The following is a 19,411-nucleotide window of genomic DNA, read 5'->3' on the forward strand; positions in this document are numbered from 1 at the left end:
TTCTCAAGACTTCAGCTGCTTTGCTGGCAGCCAGGCCTGACTCTCAGCAGCTCTGCAGGCTGGAAGGGCCCAAGAGACCCCCTCACCCACCTGGTGTCTCCAGCAGCGGGGAGGGCTCCGGGGTATAGCCTATTGCTGCTCTGCTCTCCTCCTTTCTTTGGGTAAGCTCCTTTGCTCTGATTTTATCTGGAATCATCGAGAGCCTCTATCTGTCTAGAAAAAGCACTTAGCAATGAGGAATCAGCACTGCGGAGAATACTCCAGAAAGCAGCCATTTTCCATCAAGATTAGGCTCTTAATTGAAAATTTTAAGAGGAGAGGAAATTAGGGGAGAATCCAGATATTCTCTCCATTATGGTAATTGGCTGTAATCAGAGCCCAAGAGCTGTGTTCAATCCTGGGGGTTCTTCCAGGATTACCAGAGCTGTCATAGTCACCTTCACTGACCTGCACTGGAGTCAGTGGGAGGGGCTGGCGGGGTCCGGGGCTGCTCTGGCAAGTGGATCCAGGAGGGCTGGGCTGGATCCAGGGGGCTGAGTTCAGAGGGGACTCTGCTTAGCAAGTGTGAAACACACGACAGGGCCTTCCAGGCAGAGGGAAGATTGAGAACTGCGGCCGAGCGAGTGCGTCCAGGGGCCCGAGTTTAGTTGAGGGCCTAAGTTTTCCCAGCAGGGCAAGGTTGAGGGTGAGGATGCTGCAGGCCAGTTTTCTATGGCCTCAGAATGAGGACAAGAAGGGGGAGATGGGCCACAGGGATGAGGGTGCCTGCTCCCTGCAGCAGTGTGCACACCACGGCTGTGCAGAGGCAGCAGGTGGCAGGTATTGGGAAGAAGCTCTTCCCTTGTGTGTCCTAGGGGCTGGGCACAGCCTGATGGGCCCCCTTTGCTCACAGTTGCAGAAGCCCATCCATGTAGGGTCCTGCTGAACTGGCTTCCATGGGGCTGGGAAGGACTGGCCTGGCCTCTTTGCTCACTTCACCTTATGGGCAGTGTCCTGCAGGTTTCTGTGAGCAGAGCAGACAGAAAGGAGATGCCCAGTGATGTCAGCTGTCCCCCACAGAGCTTCCTGGAGCCTGGGCTCCAGGCTGAGGGTCCTTGGACAGACGTCATCTCCCTGGCTTCAGCAGAATCACCCACAAACCCACCCTGTGCCCACCCTCCCATCACAGAGAGCAGCTGCTGGAGAAGGCAGCATGAGACTTTGAAGACCTCGAGGAGCAGGAGACACAGGAGACAATGGCCAGGATGGTCATGGTGGCGCGGCTATGCCATCACTGATTTCTGCCTACCTGCCCCCTAAGTCTCACTTGCTACTACTCTCAATTTCCTACTTAATGCTTCGGAGAGCACCAGTCCTGAGAAGAGAGGCGGGATGTTCACTCTCTGGGAGTTGAGATGGAACCCAGGCAGTTAGAAAAAGTGCCACAGCCACGTGCCGAGCCTACTACTTGTCAGGAGCTCAGTGAGTCATCCAATTCCTAAAACAACTGTGCTGCATGTGCTCCACCGCGCCTGGGCGACTCGGGGAAATGGGCTGCGGGAGGCTCAGTGACCTGCCCTGGGTGACATGGATGGCATGGATGCCCTGTCCATGCACGGGGCTTTGCTAGGAGAGGACAGGATCATCCCCAGAAGCTGGTCCTGTGTCCACTGCTCACGGTGGCAGCTGCTTGGGCTGACAACGCCCCCCACCTCCTGATCAGATAGTGATATACTTGGTCCAAACTTCGAAAGTAAAAAAGTTAAAACAGAAAAATAGTCTCCTGGTCATTCATGCTCTCTGGTTCCCTTTTCATTCGTATCTCTTTCTCCTTCTATTTATGGATCTAGTTATTTAAAGCACAGATGGTGACATTCTGTACATATTCTGCATTTTGCTTTTTAAGTCTATTTTATTATGACGTACGATACATATAGAAAAGTGGAAAAAACTGAAATGAATGAATTTTCATGAAGTGAGCATTGGTGTAAACTGAGCCAGTACATTCGGAACCCCCTTCATTCTCCCTCCCAGTTACTGCACCATCCCTCCTGCCACAGGTAAATACTGCCCTGACCTTCATGGTAACTACTTGCTTTGCTTCCATTAGATATTCTATTTTTGTTTCAGCTGTGCTTTTGAACTTTATAGAAATGGATTCATACAGGGTGTATTCCTTCACATTGAGCTGGCTGTGTGCAGCATTGTGTGCAGTTGTTTCATATTGTAGCCGGGAACAGTGACTCATCTTCATTGCTCTTTAGCATTCCATTGTTTAATTGAATCCCAGTTTTCTTTTCCACTGTTGATTGTGTTTAGATTTTTTTCAGTTTGGGGTTACTATGAAGGATGCTATAAAGAGCATTCTTGTACATAGCTCTTGTAGCACAGTGAACACATTTCTGTTGGGTGTAGAGATGTACGTATATGTGTGTGTGTGTGTGTGTGTGTGTGTGTGTGTATATATATATACACCCCAAGGGGTAAAATTGTTGGATGTACATACCTTTGACTTCAGTAAATCATGCCAAACTGCTTTCCAAAGTGGTTGTTCATCTTTTTTTCCTTTTGTTTTTCAGTGGATCCTTATAGTTTGGGATTCTTCCATAATGGTACATATAGATGTGTCACATTTTTTCAAACAGTTGCATAGTTTTCACAGCATGGACATAACATGATTTATTTAACCTGTCTTCTGTTGTTGGACTTCGTTATATTTATACTCAAACAATGCCACAATGAATAACTTTCTTCATAAGTTAATTAAATACTCGATGAAAAATACAGGGTTTTTTTCGGTTTATAAAAGTAATACTTGCTCACTGAGGAAAAAAAATCTGTAAATTACAGAAAAACACAAAGGAAATATATCCTATGATCCAACCAGAAAGAAAACTACTTTTCCTATGTTGTGCGTAGCTCTCTAGTTTTTTCTTTCTTTATATCAATTGGATTTTTTTTTTTTTTTTTTTTTTTTTGAGACAGGGTCTCACTGTGTCACCCAGGCCGGAGTGCAGTGGCATGATCACAGCTCACTGAAGCCTCGACTTCCCAGGCTTAAGTGATCCTCCTACCTCACTCAGCCTCCCGAGTAGTTGGGACCACAGGCATGTGCCACCACATCTGGCTATTTTTAGTATTTTTTGTAGAGATGGGGTTTCGCCATGCTGCTCAGGCAGGTCTCAAACTCCTGGCCTCAAGCCATCTGCTTGTGTTGGCCTCCCAAAGTGCTGGATTACAGGCGTGCACCACCACCCCCGGCCTAATTGAATTTTTATTTTGGAAGAACCATATACCTTTATACATATTCTTTCTATGACTTATTTTCTGTAGTTGAAGTTCAAGGGTGTTTGACAGTGTGATGTGGTTATTGTTAACCTGTATGTGGGGGCATACAGATATGTTGTTTTACTTTTTCCCATAAGGCTAAGATCATCTCCAGAAATATTAATTTTTTAGACAGCGTGATTATAGTTATTTAATACTCATATTTATCAAAATATTATATGTTAAAACCAATAACCATCTGAACTTATTTGAATATAGTTTTTCCTATTCTGTTCTTAGAAATTTCAGTCATTAACAATCTTTACACTTAGAAAGTGTTTTAATTTTACTTTGATGACAGGAATAGTGTTTTTCTCAATGAAATATATAATAGCAGCTTATAAGTGATAACCGTTTTCATTCTGTTTTTAAGAGAAAATACTTTGGTCTTTTTTACCATGATAGTTTAGTGTGTGATGTCATAAAAATGGGCTGTAGCCATTTAAATTCTTGTTCAAGTGCAGAAACTAAGAGACTTCAGTTTCTATTAAGCCATGTCAACTCCTATTAGGAGACCTTTAGTGGTTCCAGTTCCAGGGCCTTCTTGAAGAAATTGTGATACTTGTGTAAGTATATCTAGAGTTTTCTTTCCAGCATTGGCTAAGTCACATAGCTGAGAAATATGATACATGGAGAAGGTTGCTGACTGGATGAACTTTTCTACATTGAATACTTTAAATCTGGATTCTAGAATAAAATATATTGATGCATATTTGAGTTGTCAACTGTTTATGTCTTGTTCTTTTCAGCTTCAACATTGCTTTATGGCATGTGTGGTCGTTTTTCACTCCATTGTTGTTGTTTACCCAGTTTATGGGGGTTGTAATGTTTATCACACTCCTTGGATGATTTCCGAAGGTAAGATATCTGGAATGGTTTTTCTAAAAATGAACTCATTGAAAAAATGTCTTTTATGACAATTTTCAGTGGATGGAGCTGTAACAGACTATTTGTGAATTATTTTCAGTCATGTTTACACCAGAGTTGTCCACACTAGAATTATCCATTCGTTGAACTCTGAGATAGACTCCTTTTTTTTGAGACAGTGTCTCACTCTGTTGTCCAGGCTGGAGTACAGTGGCATGATCACAGCTCACTGCAGCCTTGACCACCTGGGGGCTCAAGCGATCCTCCCACCTTAGCTTCCCAAGGAGCTGGTATTACAAACATGTGCTATCACGCTTGGCTAATTTTTAAAAATTTTTTTGTAGAAACAGAGTCTCCTTATGTTGCCCAGGCTGGCAGGGGTTGGGGGCTGAGACTCTTTCTTTTGTAAAAGTTGGTTCTAAGTGACTACTTTTTAGAGAAGGTACCCTGCCTTTCAAAGACCTCATAAAGACAGGATTTGTACCTTCCAATATAGTTAAATTCACACATTAGACCATTTTATGTTGAAATTATATTAATTTGTGTCCGCTTATATTCAATGACTGTTGGCTAGATCATTCTTAAGAAATGGGAATACAGGAAGAATGGACAATTTTACCCAACTGGGAAAAAAAATTCTACCATCTTCTAATTATTCTGACTTCCTCATAAAAATGTGTTGGATGACACAATCAGCTTTTGTTTGGTGTTATTTATAGAATTTCTGCCTCCCTACAGATCACCCCATCCTGAGATCTGCTGCCTTACACAGTGGAGGCTGTTTTCTGAGTGTCGGATAACTCTGTTATTAAATAAGTGCATATTGAGAATACTCACTCCAGATGCTTAGAGGCATGTTGAGAAGGACAAAGATAGTGCCTCCTGTCAGGTCACTTACATCAGAACTTGCAGGAAACCTGCTTTATACAGCAGTTGACAGGTGTGGAAATTGAAGCTCATGGAAATGAAAGTTAATACACTAAATTTTCAAGGAGTTAATGAAAACTGACATTTCTGCTAAAAACAGCATGTTCTCCCTGTGGGATTTTAAAGGAAGGTCAATGGTAACTGTACAAAGAAGAAATGGACATAGTCTCATTGTTAGCAGTCTGAAAATAGTTGCTAGCACCTCCATGCCCACGCCAATGTCTCCAGCCTCCTTCAAGCACCTTGCTGTGTCTTGGAACCATTGGGAGCCCTCACAGGAGGCCCTTCGTTCCTGTATGCATGTGGTGCCACAAGCTGCTTTGGGCCCGGAGGAATCCTACACATCTCAGAACACTTCCTCACCTGACCCTGTCACCCATCTCTCCCCTTCTCATGTGCTCAGCCCCTTCTTTGACTCTTGAATTTTGAGTTTTTACAGATGTTTGGGAGCTCTTACTCTGACATGAATTTATAATTGTAATGGAGACTCAGACAACGTTGTAGATCACAGAGTGAACTATGCTTTTTAGTGTTAAATGCAATAGCTTAAGATAGAATGTTTTACTTGTTACATAAATGCTGGTTTTCTTTCAGATTTAAGGACATATACTTTATTTTTTTAAGAGATAGGGTCTTCTATGTTGTCCAGGCTGGCTTTGAACTCCTGGGATCAAGTGATCCTCCTGCCTCAGCCTTCGAAGTAGTTGGGACTACAGGCCCACGCCACCGTGCATGGCTGGACACGTAAATTTGAATTGAATGGTTAAACATCCAGCTAGCTGAAAGCATGGCAGACCCTAACAGAAAAGCTACAGTGTGTTTTTGCAACTATGAAGTGAATGGTTTCCTGGGGAAAATTGTGACTTTGTATAACTATTTTTGAAACCAGAATAAATTATATTTCACTTGCATATTCTTAAATTATTAAAATTTTCAGAAGTCAGTGATACAGAAATACTATTTTGCAATGTTAATCTGTTTGAGTCTTTGGAGAAAGTGGTTTCATTGTAGGTACATGATGCACTCTTAATATTTTAAACAAATAGTTCACTCTTCCATTTAAGGGATATCAGTTCCTTGTATAAAATGACTGGATATGTATAAAGCAATTATGTTGTCATGTGCCTTTAACCAGCTTTAGTAATTACTATAATCTCATATTTATGATAGTTTTGTTAGGTGACAGGACCAAATGAAAATATTTTATGTTTTCCCATCACTTTAGATTTTATCATTGTGTAAATTACTGGGTTTTTAGCATTTCCTAATGTGAAGTTTTAATCATTTTTAAGTATACATATTTTTTTTCTGTACCATTTAAATAAAATATTTTTATAACTTTCTTGTGAGTTTTGTTCATGCAAACTTTGGAATGACTTCTGGTTTTTAGCTATTAGCACTTTGAATTAACCATAGAAATAACAAGGGCTAACTCTGTTCTTCAAAGACTTTATAAAGACAGTATTTGCACTTTCAAATGCAAATATATCTACATTAAATCTAAACAGCATAAGCATTGTGACAGAATGTACCTCATGTTGATTGTTTTCTCTGTAAGGTGACTTCTAGTAATGATTTGACTTAATCACCACTTGTGTCTGGTTCAGATCATACCCTGCCATTTACTAGCTGCAAGACCTTCAGTAGTACAGGTTTAGTATCCCTAATTTCAAAATCTGAAACTTTTTGATTGCTGATATGGCACTCAAAGGAAATGCTCATTGGAGCATTTCGGGTTTTGGAATACAATGCAAATATTCCAAAATCCAAAACACTTCTGGTCCCAAGCATTTCAGAGAAGGGGTAGTCAACCTGTAATCTTTTTTCAGCTGTGAAGTGGGAACAATATCTGTCTTGTAGGGTTGTGGGTAATAGTAATAATGTTTGTAAAACACCAATTACAGTGCCTGACACAGTAGGTGTCCACTCAATAAATGGTAATGGAGAGGGAAAGAAAGGGAAAGCAGAATCTAGGATCAGGAATATCACATCCCGTCATGATGTTTGCAAAGGGGAAAGTCAGGCATGATGAGTAGACAGAAGTAAACCCAGTTTGTTGTCATGGGTATGTGAAGGTGTGGCGAGAGTGTCATTTAAAATAGGGAGCAAGGCCAGGCAAAGGCCACAATCAGGCAGCCGAATCAGGCAGTGATGAATCAGGCAGTGATGTGAGGGTCCGGCACAACCGAGGCAGCAGCCCGGGAAGGGAGGGCATTTGGATCACACTCCCTGGAGGGAGCTTGGGTGGAGAGTACCCCAGTGTCAGCCTTCACACATTTTATATCTTTTTTTTTTCTTGAAGAGTATGTTTACAACCTGGATAGAAATCTAAGGCTGGCATGTGTTTAAAACAATTAGTTAAAACCCAGTTTCCCAAGAGCTAATAACTGGCCAATTAGGACGGTATGAAGATTGTCCTATTACTTAAAAAAAAGACTTTTTGAGACAGAGTCTTTAACTTGTCATAACATGTCTGAACAGGATCTAGTTTGAGACACTAAGGAGGATAAGACATCAGTTTGAAAAGAGACCACATCAGTGCAACATTAATTCTGCTAAAATCGAAGCAAGAACAAACATCAATTTATTATGAAGCTTGGGTGAAAAATGGTAAAATCACTAATGCTTCATGAAAAGTTTATGGGAACAATGCCCCAAAGAAATCAACAGCTTACAAATGAATAACTTGTTTTAAGAAGGTATGAGATGATGTTGAAGAGGAAGCCCTCAGTGAGAGACCCTACACACGAATCTTTGAGGAAAAAATTCATCTTGTTTTTGCCCTAATCAAAGAGGACTGATGATTAATAGCAGTTAACAATAGCAGAAACAATAGACAGTGTCATAGACGTCAAATTGGTTCAGGTTACACAATTCTGACTGAAAGCCAACTTTGCACTTGATGGGTGCCAAAACTGTTGTGCCCAGATCAGTTGCAAACAACAGCAGAGCTTTCAATGGAAATTTAAACAGTGGGATCAAGATCCTGAAGCATTTGTTCGAAAAGTTGCAACAAGTTATGAAACATGGATTTTGTAGTACTATCCTGAAGACAGCACAATCAAAGCAATGGCTACCAAGAAGTGGAAGTGGGTCAGTCAAAGCAAAAGCAGACCAGTCAAGAGCACAACTCATAGCAACAGTATTTTGGGGCTCAAGGCACTTTCCTTGTTGACTTTCAGGAGGACCAAAGAATGGTAACATCTGCTTATTATGAGAGGGTTTTGAGAAAGTTACCCAAAGCTTTAGCAGAAAATTCTTGGGAAAACTTCAGCAGAGTCCTCCTCCACCATGACAATGCTTCTGGTTATTCCTGTCATCAAGGGCAATTTTGGGAGAATTTTGATGGGAAATCATTACAGTCCTGATTTGGCTCCTCCTAACTTCTTTTTGTTTCATAATCTTAATCTGTAAAGGATACTCTTTTCAGTTAATGTGTAAAAGACTGCATTGATATGGTTAAATTCTCAGGACCTTCAGTTCCTTAGGGATGGGCTAAATGGCTGTAGCATGACTTATAGAAGAAGTGTCTTGAACTTGATGGAGCTTATGTTGAGACATAAAGTTTATATTTTCAATTCATTTTTTCCAAGTTTTGAAGTCCAAGGGTACATGTGGAATGGCTAGATGGAGTTCATTAATATATGCATTACTTTGCATACTTATTTTTTGTGGTGAGATTTCTTAAAATCTACTCTTCACAATTTTTAAAATGCTATAAATTGTTATTAACTATAATTACTAAGCTGTACAATAGATCTCTTGAACTTACTCTTCTTACTTAAATGAAATTTTGTACCCTTTGACCAACATCTCCCAACCCCCAAATTCCACCTGCTGCCCAGCCCCTGGTAGCCACTATTCTACTCTCTACCTATATGACCTCAGCTTTTATAGATCTACATATAAATGAGATCATGTGACATTTGTCTTTCTGTGCTTGGCTTATGTCACTTAACATAGTATCTTCCAGGTTCATAGCCATACTGTTACAAATGTCAGGATTTCCTTTTTTTTTTCTTTTTTGAGACAGGGTCTGGCTCTGTCACCAAGGCTGGAGTGCAGTGGCACAATCTCAGCTCACTGAAACCTGGACCTCCCAGGCTCAAATGATCCTCCTACCTCAGCCTCCCAAGTAGCTGGGACTACAGGTGCACACCACTGGGTTTAGCTAATTTTTTTTTTTGAGAGAGAGTTTCACTCTTGTTGCCCAGGCTGGAGTGCAATGGTGTGATCTTGTCTCACCCACAACCTCTGCCTCCTGGGTTCAAGTGATTATCCTGCCTCAGCCTCCTGAGTAGTTGGGATTACAGGCATTTTTAGTAGAGAAGGGGTTTCTCCATGTTGGTCAGGCTGGTCTCAAATTCCTGACCTCAGGTGATCCACCTGCCTCAGTCTCCCAAAGTGCTGGGATTACAGGCATGAGCCACCACACTCAGCCTTTTTTTTTTTTTTTTTTGTAGAGTTGAGGTTTTGCCATGTTGCCCAGTTGGTCTTGAACTCCTGGGCATAAGCAGTCCACCCACCATGGCCTCCCAAAGTGTTGGGTTTACAAGCGTGAGCCATTGTGCCCGGCCATTTCCTTCTTTTTAAGGTTGAATAATATTCTGTTGTGTATGTATACAATGTGTATACATACACACATTTTCTTTGTCCATTCATTCATCCATTGATGGATGCACAGGTTAATTCCATATCTTGACTATCATTTGTGTGTTATAGATTTAATTTTTCTCACCAGAAGATCTGTTGAAATCTTAACCCCTGGTACCTCTGATTGTGGCCCTATTTGGAAATGGAGTCTTTGTAGATTTAATTAAGATGTAAATTACAATGAAGTCATACTGGAGTAGGTTGGGCCCTTAACCCATTATGACTGGTGTCTTTATAAGAAGAGGAAAAGAGACACAGATACAAAGGAAAGATGGTCAAGTGACAACAGAGGCAAAGATTGGAGTGATACAGCCACAAGCCAAGGAATGCTAGGGGTTGCCAGCAACCAGTAGAAACTGGAAGAGGCTGGCGATGACCCCCCATTGGAGCCTTCAGAGGGAACTTGGCTCTTCTGACATCTAGATTTTGGACTGCTGGCCTCCCAAACTGTGAGAGAATAAATTTTCATTGTTTTGAAGCCACCCCGTTAGTGGCACTTTGTTAGACCCACCCACTTGGCTGTGCGCAGTGACTCATGCCTGTAATCCCAGCACTTTGGGAGGCCGAGGTGGGTGGATCATGAGGTCAGGAGTTCAAGACCAACCTGGCCAACATGGTGAAATCCCATCTCTACTAACAATACAAAAAATTATCCAGGCATGGTGGTGTGTGCCTGTAATCCCAGCTACTCGGGAGACTGAATCAGGAGAATCACTGGAACCCAGGAGGCAGAGGTTGCAGTGAGCCAAGATCACACCACTGCACTCCAGCCTGGGCGATAGAGTAAGATTCTGTCTCAAAAAAAAAAAAAAAAAAAAAAAAGAAGTGAATACACTGTCTAACTCTTTTGTTCTTAAAAATACTGGGATTACATAGCTACCACCAAAGGTGACTGGGGGCAAAATGTGCTAATTGCCCCTTGGGACCTTCTATTATCTCTGGCAGTTGAGAGTGCCAGTGGGCCTCTGGCCTTGTGAAATCCTGTCAGCTTCACTGGAAGAAGGGAGCTCATGTGATCATTAAAAAGGAAACAATAGGTGCTGGAGAGGATGTGGAGAAATAGGAACGCTTTTACACTGTTGGTGGGAGTGTAAACTAGTTCAACCATTGTGGAAAACCATGTGGTGATTCCTCAAGGATCTAGAACTAGAAATACCATTTGACCCAGCGATCCCATTACTGGGTATATGCCCAAAGGACTATAAATCATTCTACTATAAAGACACATACACATGTATGATTATGGCAGCACTATTCACAATAGCAAAGACTTGGAACCAACCCAAATGTCCATCAATGATAGACTGGATTAAGAAAATATGGCACATATACACCATGGAATACTATGCAGCCATAAAAAGGATGAGTTCATGTCGTTTGTAGGGACATGGATGAAACTGGAAACCATAATTCTGAGCAAACTATCGCAAGGACACAAAACCAAACACTGCATGTTCTCACTCATAGGTGGGAATTGAACAATGAGAACACTTGGACACAGGATGGGGAACATCACACACTGGGGCCTGTCATGGGGTGGGGGGAAGGGGGAGGGATAGCATTAAAAGAAATACCTAATGTAGATGACGAATTAATGGGTGCAGCACACCACCATGGCACATATATACATATGTAACAAACCTGCATGTTGTGCACATGTACCCTAGAACTTAAAGTATTAAAAAAAAAAAAAGAAAAGAAGGGAGTCCATGCCCGAGGGCACCATGCCTCCCTGTCCATCTGCGTGGTACTGAATCATCACTGGGAAGCAGCTGCCTGGTCAGGACGTTTCCAGCTTTTACACTGATTGAGCCATGCCACACAGTTCTCAGGACACAGTGTGGGCAGGGGTAACATGCACCAAATGTGGTGAAAACAGCAGGCCTGGGCACCACCAGAGCACCATTTCTGACCCCTTGTATCTGCCCATCATGGAGCAGGGGTCAGTCGTAAGAAATTGGGGGCCCCGTGTGGCTCAGACTTTTGAAAAAAATCTCACTTGTGGAAGGCAGAACACAGTGTGGGTAAATCTCTCAGTTTTATTTATGTATTTATTGAGATGGAGTCTCACTCTGTCATCCAGGTTGGAGTCCAGTGGCACAATCTTGGCTCACTGCAACCTCTGCCTCCTGGGTTCAAGAGATTCTCCTGCCTCAGCCTCCCAAGTAGCTGGGATTACAGGTGTGCACCACCACACCAGCTATTTTTTGTATTTTTAGTAGAGACGGGGTTTCACCATGTTGGCCAGGCTAGTCTCGAACTCCTGACCTCAAGTGATCTACCTCGACCTCCCAAAGTGCTGGGATTACAGGCTCTCAGTGAGTTTTAACATTGTCTTGAGATTACAATAAAGGGGGCTGACTTTAGCCTCCAGAAACTTTCATTTCATTGCTTCTTAAAAAAATGCAGGCCAGGTGTGGTGGCTCATGCCTGTAATCCCAGCACTTTGGGAGGCCAAGGGGTGGATCACCAGGTCAGGAGTTGAGACCAGCCTAACCAGCATGGTGAAACCGCATCTCTACTAAAAATACAGAAATTAGCCGGGCATGGTGGCAGGCGCCTGTAATCCCAGCTACTCGGGAGGCTGAGGCAGGAGAATCGCTTGAACTCAGGAGGCAGAGGTTACAGTGAGCTGAGATGATTGTGCCACTGCACTCCAGCCTGGGTAACAGAGTGAGACTCCATCTCAAAAACAAACAAACAAACAAACAAACAAACAAACAAAAGTGCAGGTAGCCCAGAGATAGGCATTCCACTTGATTTTCAGATAGTGACTGAGTGTTATTTATCTTTGTACTCAATGGGTTAAGGTACTGCTAGCTGCTGTAACATTTCAGACTTTGGTGGCTTAGCACAATGGAAGTTTATTTCTCACTGATGTAAGGTCCAGCTTCGGGAGGAAAAGCCGCCTCACTAGTCACTGGGGAGACACGCAGACAGGCTCTTCCATCTTCAGCTCAGCCTCCCAGGTTGCTCTGGCTGTTGGTAGGAAGAGGAGGGGAGAAGGTGGAAGATTCCCAGTAGGTTTGCTGGATCCTCTCTCTGGACTGCCTTTCCAGACCCCTGCTCCCTTCCGCCTGGCCATCCACTCCTAAGCCTAAAGAATGTGCAGGAGGCTGGACGTGGTAGCTGGAGCCTGTAATCCCAGTGCTTTGGGAGGCTGAGGTAGGAGGAAGGCTTGAGCCCAGGAGTTTGAGATCAACCTGAGCAACACAGCGAGACCCCTGTCTCTACAAAAAACAATTTTAAAAAAATGAGCCAGGCGTGGTAGCACACACCTGTAGTCCCAGCTATTCGGGAGGCTGAGGTGGGAGGAGCACTTGAGCCCCAGAGTTCGAGGCTGTAGTGAGCTATTATCACACCACTTCATTCCAGCCTGGGAGACATAGGGAGGCCCTGTCCTTATTAAAAGATAAAAATAAAATAAAGAAAGAAAGAAGACTGTGCAGGTGTTGCCTCCTCCCTGAACCTCGCAGCCTTCCTGCAGACCTGGGCTCCTCCCAGGCCCCTGGTGGTAGCCCTGCTCAAGTGTGCTGTGCTGCTTACTCTGTCCCCACCCCCAAGGTCTTAGAAGTTGAGGGCTAAGTCTCACAGGTCACGCTCCCCAGCTTCCCAGTCAAGGCTCATTAGCTGTTTGTTTATTGCTGTTTCTCTGCCTGAACATCAGCTCCACCTGAACAGAGCCTTTCATAGCTGAAACCCCAGCGCCTACAACAGAGACCAGCAAATGATTCACATGTCAACACATACATGTGTGTTGATCAAATGAATGAATGCATGAATTGGAAGAATGATGGCGGCAAGGCAAGGTCCCTCAGGTTGACTTCTTGCCGGCCCAGGACTCCCCACCCCTCCTTTACTAGTCAGGACCTGCTATTGCAATTTGCTGCGCTTAGCACAAAACAAAAACCTGGGCCTTCTTGTTCAAAAATTAAGAATTTCAAGACTGCAAGAGCCTTAAACCAAGAGGGAGAGGGTGTCTTCCGGGGCCCAGCCCCGGGCTGCTGCATGGTGGGATGGGGGCTCGCTCCCAACTCCCCTCTCCAACCTGCAGCTGGGGGGCTGGGGTCCACCGCCTCCTGTCAGCCACGCCCGACCGGTAGAACGCTCTTCTGCAGAAACTTCCCAGACCTCCACTTAATGGCACCCAAGCAGGGCACCCTGGCAGACACAGTCTCCTTCCGGGAGCAGGCAGGTGCAAGGCAGGCACCGGGGCTTTGGAAGGGGCTGGTGGAGATGCTTGGGTGCCGGTAGCCCCAGGGCAGACCCTGGGGCCTCCCTCATTCCAGCTCCTCTGCGTCCAGAATGGCTGCCGCTCCTTTGGGGGAGGGTGCGGGATGGTCTCTTTTCTTAGAAAGTGGCTCAGGTCTTATTCTGCGCCTGGGCATCTCGCAGCCGACACACAGGCACACCAGATGGACAAACAGAAAAACCCACAGAAGGCGGCCCCTCCCCCAATTCAGAGAGCCAGTGACTGGCACTCCTCCACCCCTAACCAGACACACCCGAAAACAGACGGCCAGACACAGAGTGACCCGCACAGAGAAGACAATACAGAAATACGCAGGGACAAGGACAGACCATCGGACGCTCGGACACGGACCCAGGCAGGATCACCTGGACCTCTGGGTTCCCCAACGGAGACCCTCGGGGAAGGCCCGGAGCATCGCACGCCCCTGTGGAGCCCCGTGCGCCCCACTTGGCAGCAGCCACGCCCCCCGTGCACACCCCACTTCGGGCTGGCTCTGGAAGACCCCCTCTCCCCAGCCCCGCAACCCCGGGACTCTGGGAGGCATCTCTCGTCACCCAGCGTTTCTGGGGCGCCCGGACAGGGGCTGGGTGGGTGGGCGTCGGCGCAGGGGTGAGGGCTGCAGACGGTGGGCGGGGGCCGGGCGCGCGGGCGGAGGTGCGGGAGGACGCGCTAGTGTCGGGGCAGGGCTGGCCAGTGTCCCAGGGATCAGGAGGGGGGAGCGGTCCGCGTGGGTCCCGGAGGGGACAGATGGCTGCCCCGGGCGTTGCCCAGTGAGGGGCAGTGGGCAAGGGAGCTCTTAGAATCCCGGGTCAGCGGGGTGGGGCGCTGGGTAAGTGGACAGGGTGGTACCTTGACTGAGGACGAAGGGGCAGAAGAGGGGAGGGCGGGCGTCGGGAAGTGACAGGAGACGGGGCAGGTTGTCGGGGGCGTGGGGTAGGAATCGGAGGGGAGTTGAAAAGGGGGGTGCTGGTTGGCAGAGGCGTCGGGGCAAGGACAGGAGCCAGGAGCGCAGGCGGGGCCCGACGGCAGCCACCCCCGGGGCCAGACTTGGCGCGGGTGTCTTGAAGATGCTTGAGGGCCTGGGGTCGCCCGCCTGGCCCCGGGCAGCTGCGAGCGCCTCAGTCGCGGGGTCATCGGGGCCCGCGGCCTGCCCGCCTCCCTCGCCGTCGGCCCCGAGGTCCCCGGAGTCCCCGGCCCCCCGGAGGGGCGGTGTGCGCGCCAGCGTCCCACAGAAGCTGGCCGAGATGCCGAGCAGCCAGTATGGGCTGATCGTGTTCGTGGCGGGGCTGCTGCTGCTGCTGGCCTGGGCCGTGCACGCCGCGGGCGTGAGCAAGAGCGACCTGCTGTGCTTCCTGACGGCGCTCATGCTGCTGCAGATGCTGTGGTACGTGGGCCGCAGCTCCGCGCACCGCCGCCTCTTCCGCCTCAAGGACACGCACGCCGGCGCCGGCTGGCTGCACCGGCTGGTGAGTCCAGGCACCGGGCAAGCGGGTCTCTGCCTCCTTGCCTGCTGGCTGCATCCTGAGACGGCTCTGCCCCCTTCCTACCACTGCCGTCTTCCCTTCAGCCTTTTCTGCCTTGGTCTCTCTGTGCATCTTTCCTAGCTTTCCTATCTGCCCTTCCTTCTTTCCTCTCTCTCTCTCTCTCTCTGAAGCCTGGGTCGCCGCGGGAGCCTCCTCTCCGCCTCCAGACGCTTCCATCATTACAGCCACAGTTACAGAAACCTCTCCTGTCCTTCCCTGGCTTAAAGCCATACAGTGGCCCTACTGACCCCATGATGGAGGTCACGTTCCCTCTCCTGACACTCAGAGCCTTCTAGCACCCGGCCCCCGAGGGCCCGTTTCCTTTGATCCCCTCCTTTGTTCTCATCCTATGCTGGGGTCATTCTCGAGGACTTTCTCTCCCGTCGCAGGATCTCTGCCTCTGCACATTCAGCACCTTTGGTTCCCTCCTCCAGGAATGTCTTTTCCACTCTCCCACCTGCCCCTCTGCTTTCCGAGACAGGCCTCAGGCCTCACCCCATTCTCCCCGCGAAGCTTCTCCGACCCCCTTCTCTTCCCCGCTTTGCAGGTCTGACCGCACGCTCCCAGCCCGCACTGGGTTCCAGTGTTCTTGTCCACATGTCTGTACCCTCCACTCCACTGGGGAGCTCTGTGATCCCTGTCTCTCGGTCCTAGAGCCACCTCAGGGCCTGGGCACAAGTGGGTTTTGAGAAAATGAGGGGGGATGAATGATGTAATGAATGCGTGGATACAGGGTGGGGCAGAGAGGGATAGAGGCTCCTGCTGGTACTCACGGGCATTGGCTGAAATCGTCAAGATAGGAGCTCTTCCTTTCTCAAGGGGCTGCCACATCTTTTTTTTTTTTTTTTTTTTTTTTTTTTTTTTTTTTTTTTTTGAGACAATGTTGCTCTATCTCCCAGGCTGGAGTGCAGTGGCACAGTCACAGCTCACTACAGCCTCTTCCTCCTGGGCTCAAGCAATCCTCCCACTTCAGCCTCCTGAATAGCTGGAACTATAGGTACACATGGCCTTGCCTGGCTAAGTTTTGTTATATTTTGTACAGATAGAGCCTCGTTGTGTTGTCTCCTGTTCTCAAACTCCTGGCCTCAAGGGATCCTCCTGCCTTGGCCTCCCAAAATGATAGGATCACAGGCATGAGCCACTGTGCCTGGCTGGGGTTGCCAGTCTTGAATGGGAGACAGACATGGTGCAGGTGAAAGGGAGGAGGCCGTGGGGAGCATGCTTGTGAAGAAAGCTTCTGTCTGAGTCACCTTCCCAGGAGAAGCCGACTGCATTTCACACCACGTGGTCCAGACACATCACACATTGCCACTTGCATTCTCATATTAGACCTGAATTTAAATCTCCATTAGAGTGGGGCTTCCGTGTTCCTTGCATGCATGACCTCGGGCAAGTTACTTGATTGCCTTCCTTACCCTGAACCCTGGTGTCGGCATCTGTAGAATGGGGATCTCACACTGGATAGGATCCAGTGATTGATGAGGTGGCTGCCCAGCACACACTAGGCCTCCTTTCTGCACTTCTTTCAAAGGTCCTGGCCAGATGCCACCTTCTTCACAAATGCCTGGCAGGAATTACTCCTCACTTCCATGGGCCACCATGGCCCTCCTTCTGTAAAGCTCTTTTGGTCCTTGTCTGTTTCTGCCTTGTATTATGACTGTTGAATATTAGCCTTATCATCCAGAAGAGATTTTAGACTTCTTAGGCTCAGGGACTGGATCTAGTTCATCTTGCTTTTGGGGAAATTTGACACCATTGCAGGGTGGCCCAAATTCCTGTTCTGAAATTGGTTGTTTTAGGGAAGTTAATGGTTTTGTGACTCTGTGAATGACAGTGAATCTGGTGCTATTTAAAACAAGGCACTAAGTGTTATTTTAGGATATTGACTTACACAGGCTAAAAAGTATTATACACATGAGCCTTTACCTGTGTTTTCCTACAGTCAAAGCCCCCTTTTTTGTTCCTCACTTCTTTTTCTCCTCCATCCTTTTTTCTCCCTTCTTCCTTCCCTCTTTCTCCTTTCCTTTCTTCCTCTTCCCTCCCTCCCTATTCCCTCCCCTTCCCTTTTCTCTCCCTTTTCTTCCTTTTTTTCTTTTTTTTGAGATGGAGTCTTGCCCTGTCACCCAGGCTGGAGTGCAATGGTGCGATCTCGGCTCACTGCAACCTCCGCCTCCCGGGTTCAAACGATTCTCCTGACTCAGCCTCCCAAGTAGCTGGGATTATAGGCGCTGGCAACCATGCCCAGCTATTTTTTGTATTTTTAGTAGAGACGGGGTTTCATCATGTTGGCCAGGCTGGTCTCGAACTCCTGACCTCGTGATCTGCCTGCCTCAGCCTCCCAAAGTGATGGGATTACCAGTGTGAGTCACCATGCCCAGCCTCCCTTTCCTTATTTTTTCCTCATTTTCTTTCTCTCTTCTCCTCCTTCATCCTTCCTTCCTCTCTTCCTTCCTCTAGCCTTCCCTCCACTATCCCTCTTCCCTCTCTCCTCTCTTTCTCTTCCTTCCTCTCTTCCTCTCTCCCCTGCTGTTTTTGTTTTTGTTTTTGAGATGGAATCTCACTCTGTTGCCAAGGCTGGAGTGCAGTGGCTAGATCATGGGTCACTGCAACCTCCATTTCCTGGGTTCAAGTGATTCTCCTGCCTCAGCCTCCTGATTAGCTGGGACTACAGGTGCACATGTCACCACACCCGGCTAATTTTTGTATTTTTTAGTAGAGACAGTGTTTCACCATGTTGGCCCAGTTGGTCTCAAACTCCTGAGCTCAGGTTATCCGCCTGCCTTTGCCTCCCAAAGTGCTGGGATTACAGGCATGAGACACCACGCCCAGCCTGGTGCATTTAGAATGTTCCTCCTTCTCCTTCTCCTCTCCTTCTCCCCCTCTCCCTCCCCCTCCCTTCCCCCTTCCTACCCTCCCCTTCCCCCTCCTCCTCCCTCTTCTTCTTCTTCTTCCTCTTTCTTCTTTTTTCTACTCAGTCTATCCTTATCCAAGGAATGCTCTTCTTTATATTGAAGTGCAGTTAACTTCCCAGAACCATCATCCTCTTCCCTGGAGCTTCTATCATCATTCACTTATTTATCCACCATGCATCCATCCACCCATCCACACTTATTCATCATCCATCCATCCATCCATCCATCCATCCATCCATCCATCTGTCCATCCATCCATCTGTGTTTTTTTGTTCTTCCTCTCTCTCTGCCTCCTTTCAGGTTGACTCCGAGCATTGGCGCCTGAGTCTATGGGTGAATGGTTGCACCATTTCCCAAGATTGGGAAGCCAAAGGGAAGAGCAGGGTGGGGACACAAAACCAATGACATGTTACAGTTCTCTTATGGACATGCTACATTTGAGGTGTCTTTGGGACACTAAGTAGAGAGGGAATAAATGGGCAAGGTAGAGAGAGCACGTGATAGGTGTTCAGTAGGTGGTAGCTGTTTAGACATTCAGTGAGTTGCCCCATAATAATGTAATTCAAGTGAGGTGTGTGTATCATGGAAATGGTGTTGGCTCTGGAGGGCTTGGCTTGAGGTCTCAGCTCTGTCACCTTCACCTTTCTGAGTTCTGCTTTCCTCATCAGTAAGATAAGAATCCCAGTCGACTCTCTGGGAGGAGCTGGGGGATGTTGAGAGAAGCAGTTTGCAAAGCCCTGGCCATTCCTGTGGGTTCCTCAAAGAAGCAAGAAGCTAATTATTAGTGTCGAGAGGCCCCGATGCCAAAAGGAAGCACCTTCAGCCCCAACAGGGACTGGGGTTTCCTCTGGAATTCTAGCTGGAAAGACAGGTTTGACCCGGGAACTCAGCTCTGCCCTGGTGTTGGTGACAATCTTAGATCAATAGGCAGAGGGCAAGTCCCTCAGGAAAAAGACCAGTGATCCTCAAGA

At 46.8% G+C, this 19,411-nt stretch overlaps 1 pseudogene, besides 2 other annotated features; it reads left to right on the plus strand.

Annotated features, from left to right (window-relative positions):
* Positions 203 to 1,121: an enhancer, noted in NCBI's record as "H3K4me1 hESC enhancer chr2:91762682-91763600 (GRCh37/hg19 assembly coordinates)". NCBI's record gives its function as "activates a minimal SCP1, AML or CMV promoter by ChIP-STARR-seq in naive H9 embryonic stem cells {active_cell/tissue: H9 hESC(naive)}" and the evidence as "EXISTENCE:reporter gene assay evidence [ECO:0000049][PMID:30033119]".
* Positions 1,122 to 2,038: an enhancer, noted in NCBI's record as "H3K4me1 hESC enhancer chr2:91763601-91764518 (GRCh37/hg19 assembly coordinates)". NCBI's record gives its function as "activates a minimal SCP1, AML or CMV promoter by ChIP-STARR-seq in naive H9 embryonic stem cells {active_cell/tissue: H9 hESC(naive)}" and the evidence as "EXISTENCE:reporter gene assay evidence [ECO:0000049][PMID:30033119]".
* The window catches only part of LOC388996 (otopetrin 1 pseudogene), a 32,073-nt pseudogene continuing 27,669 nt past the window's right edge, over positions 15,008 to 19,411 (plus strand).

The sequence above is a fragment of the Homo sapiens genome, chromosome 2 (genome assembly GCF_000001405.40).
Source record: "Homo sapiens chromosome 2, GRCh38.p14 Primary Assembly".
NCBI lineage: Eukaryota > Metazoa > Chordata > Mammalia > Primates > Hominidae > Homo > Homo sapiens.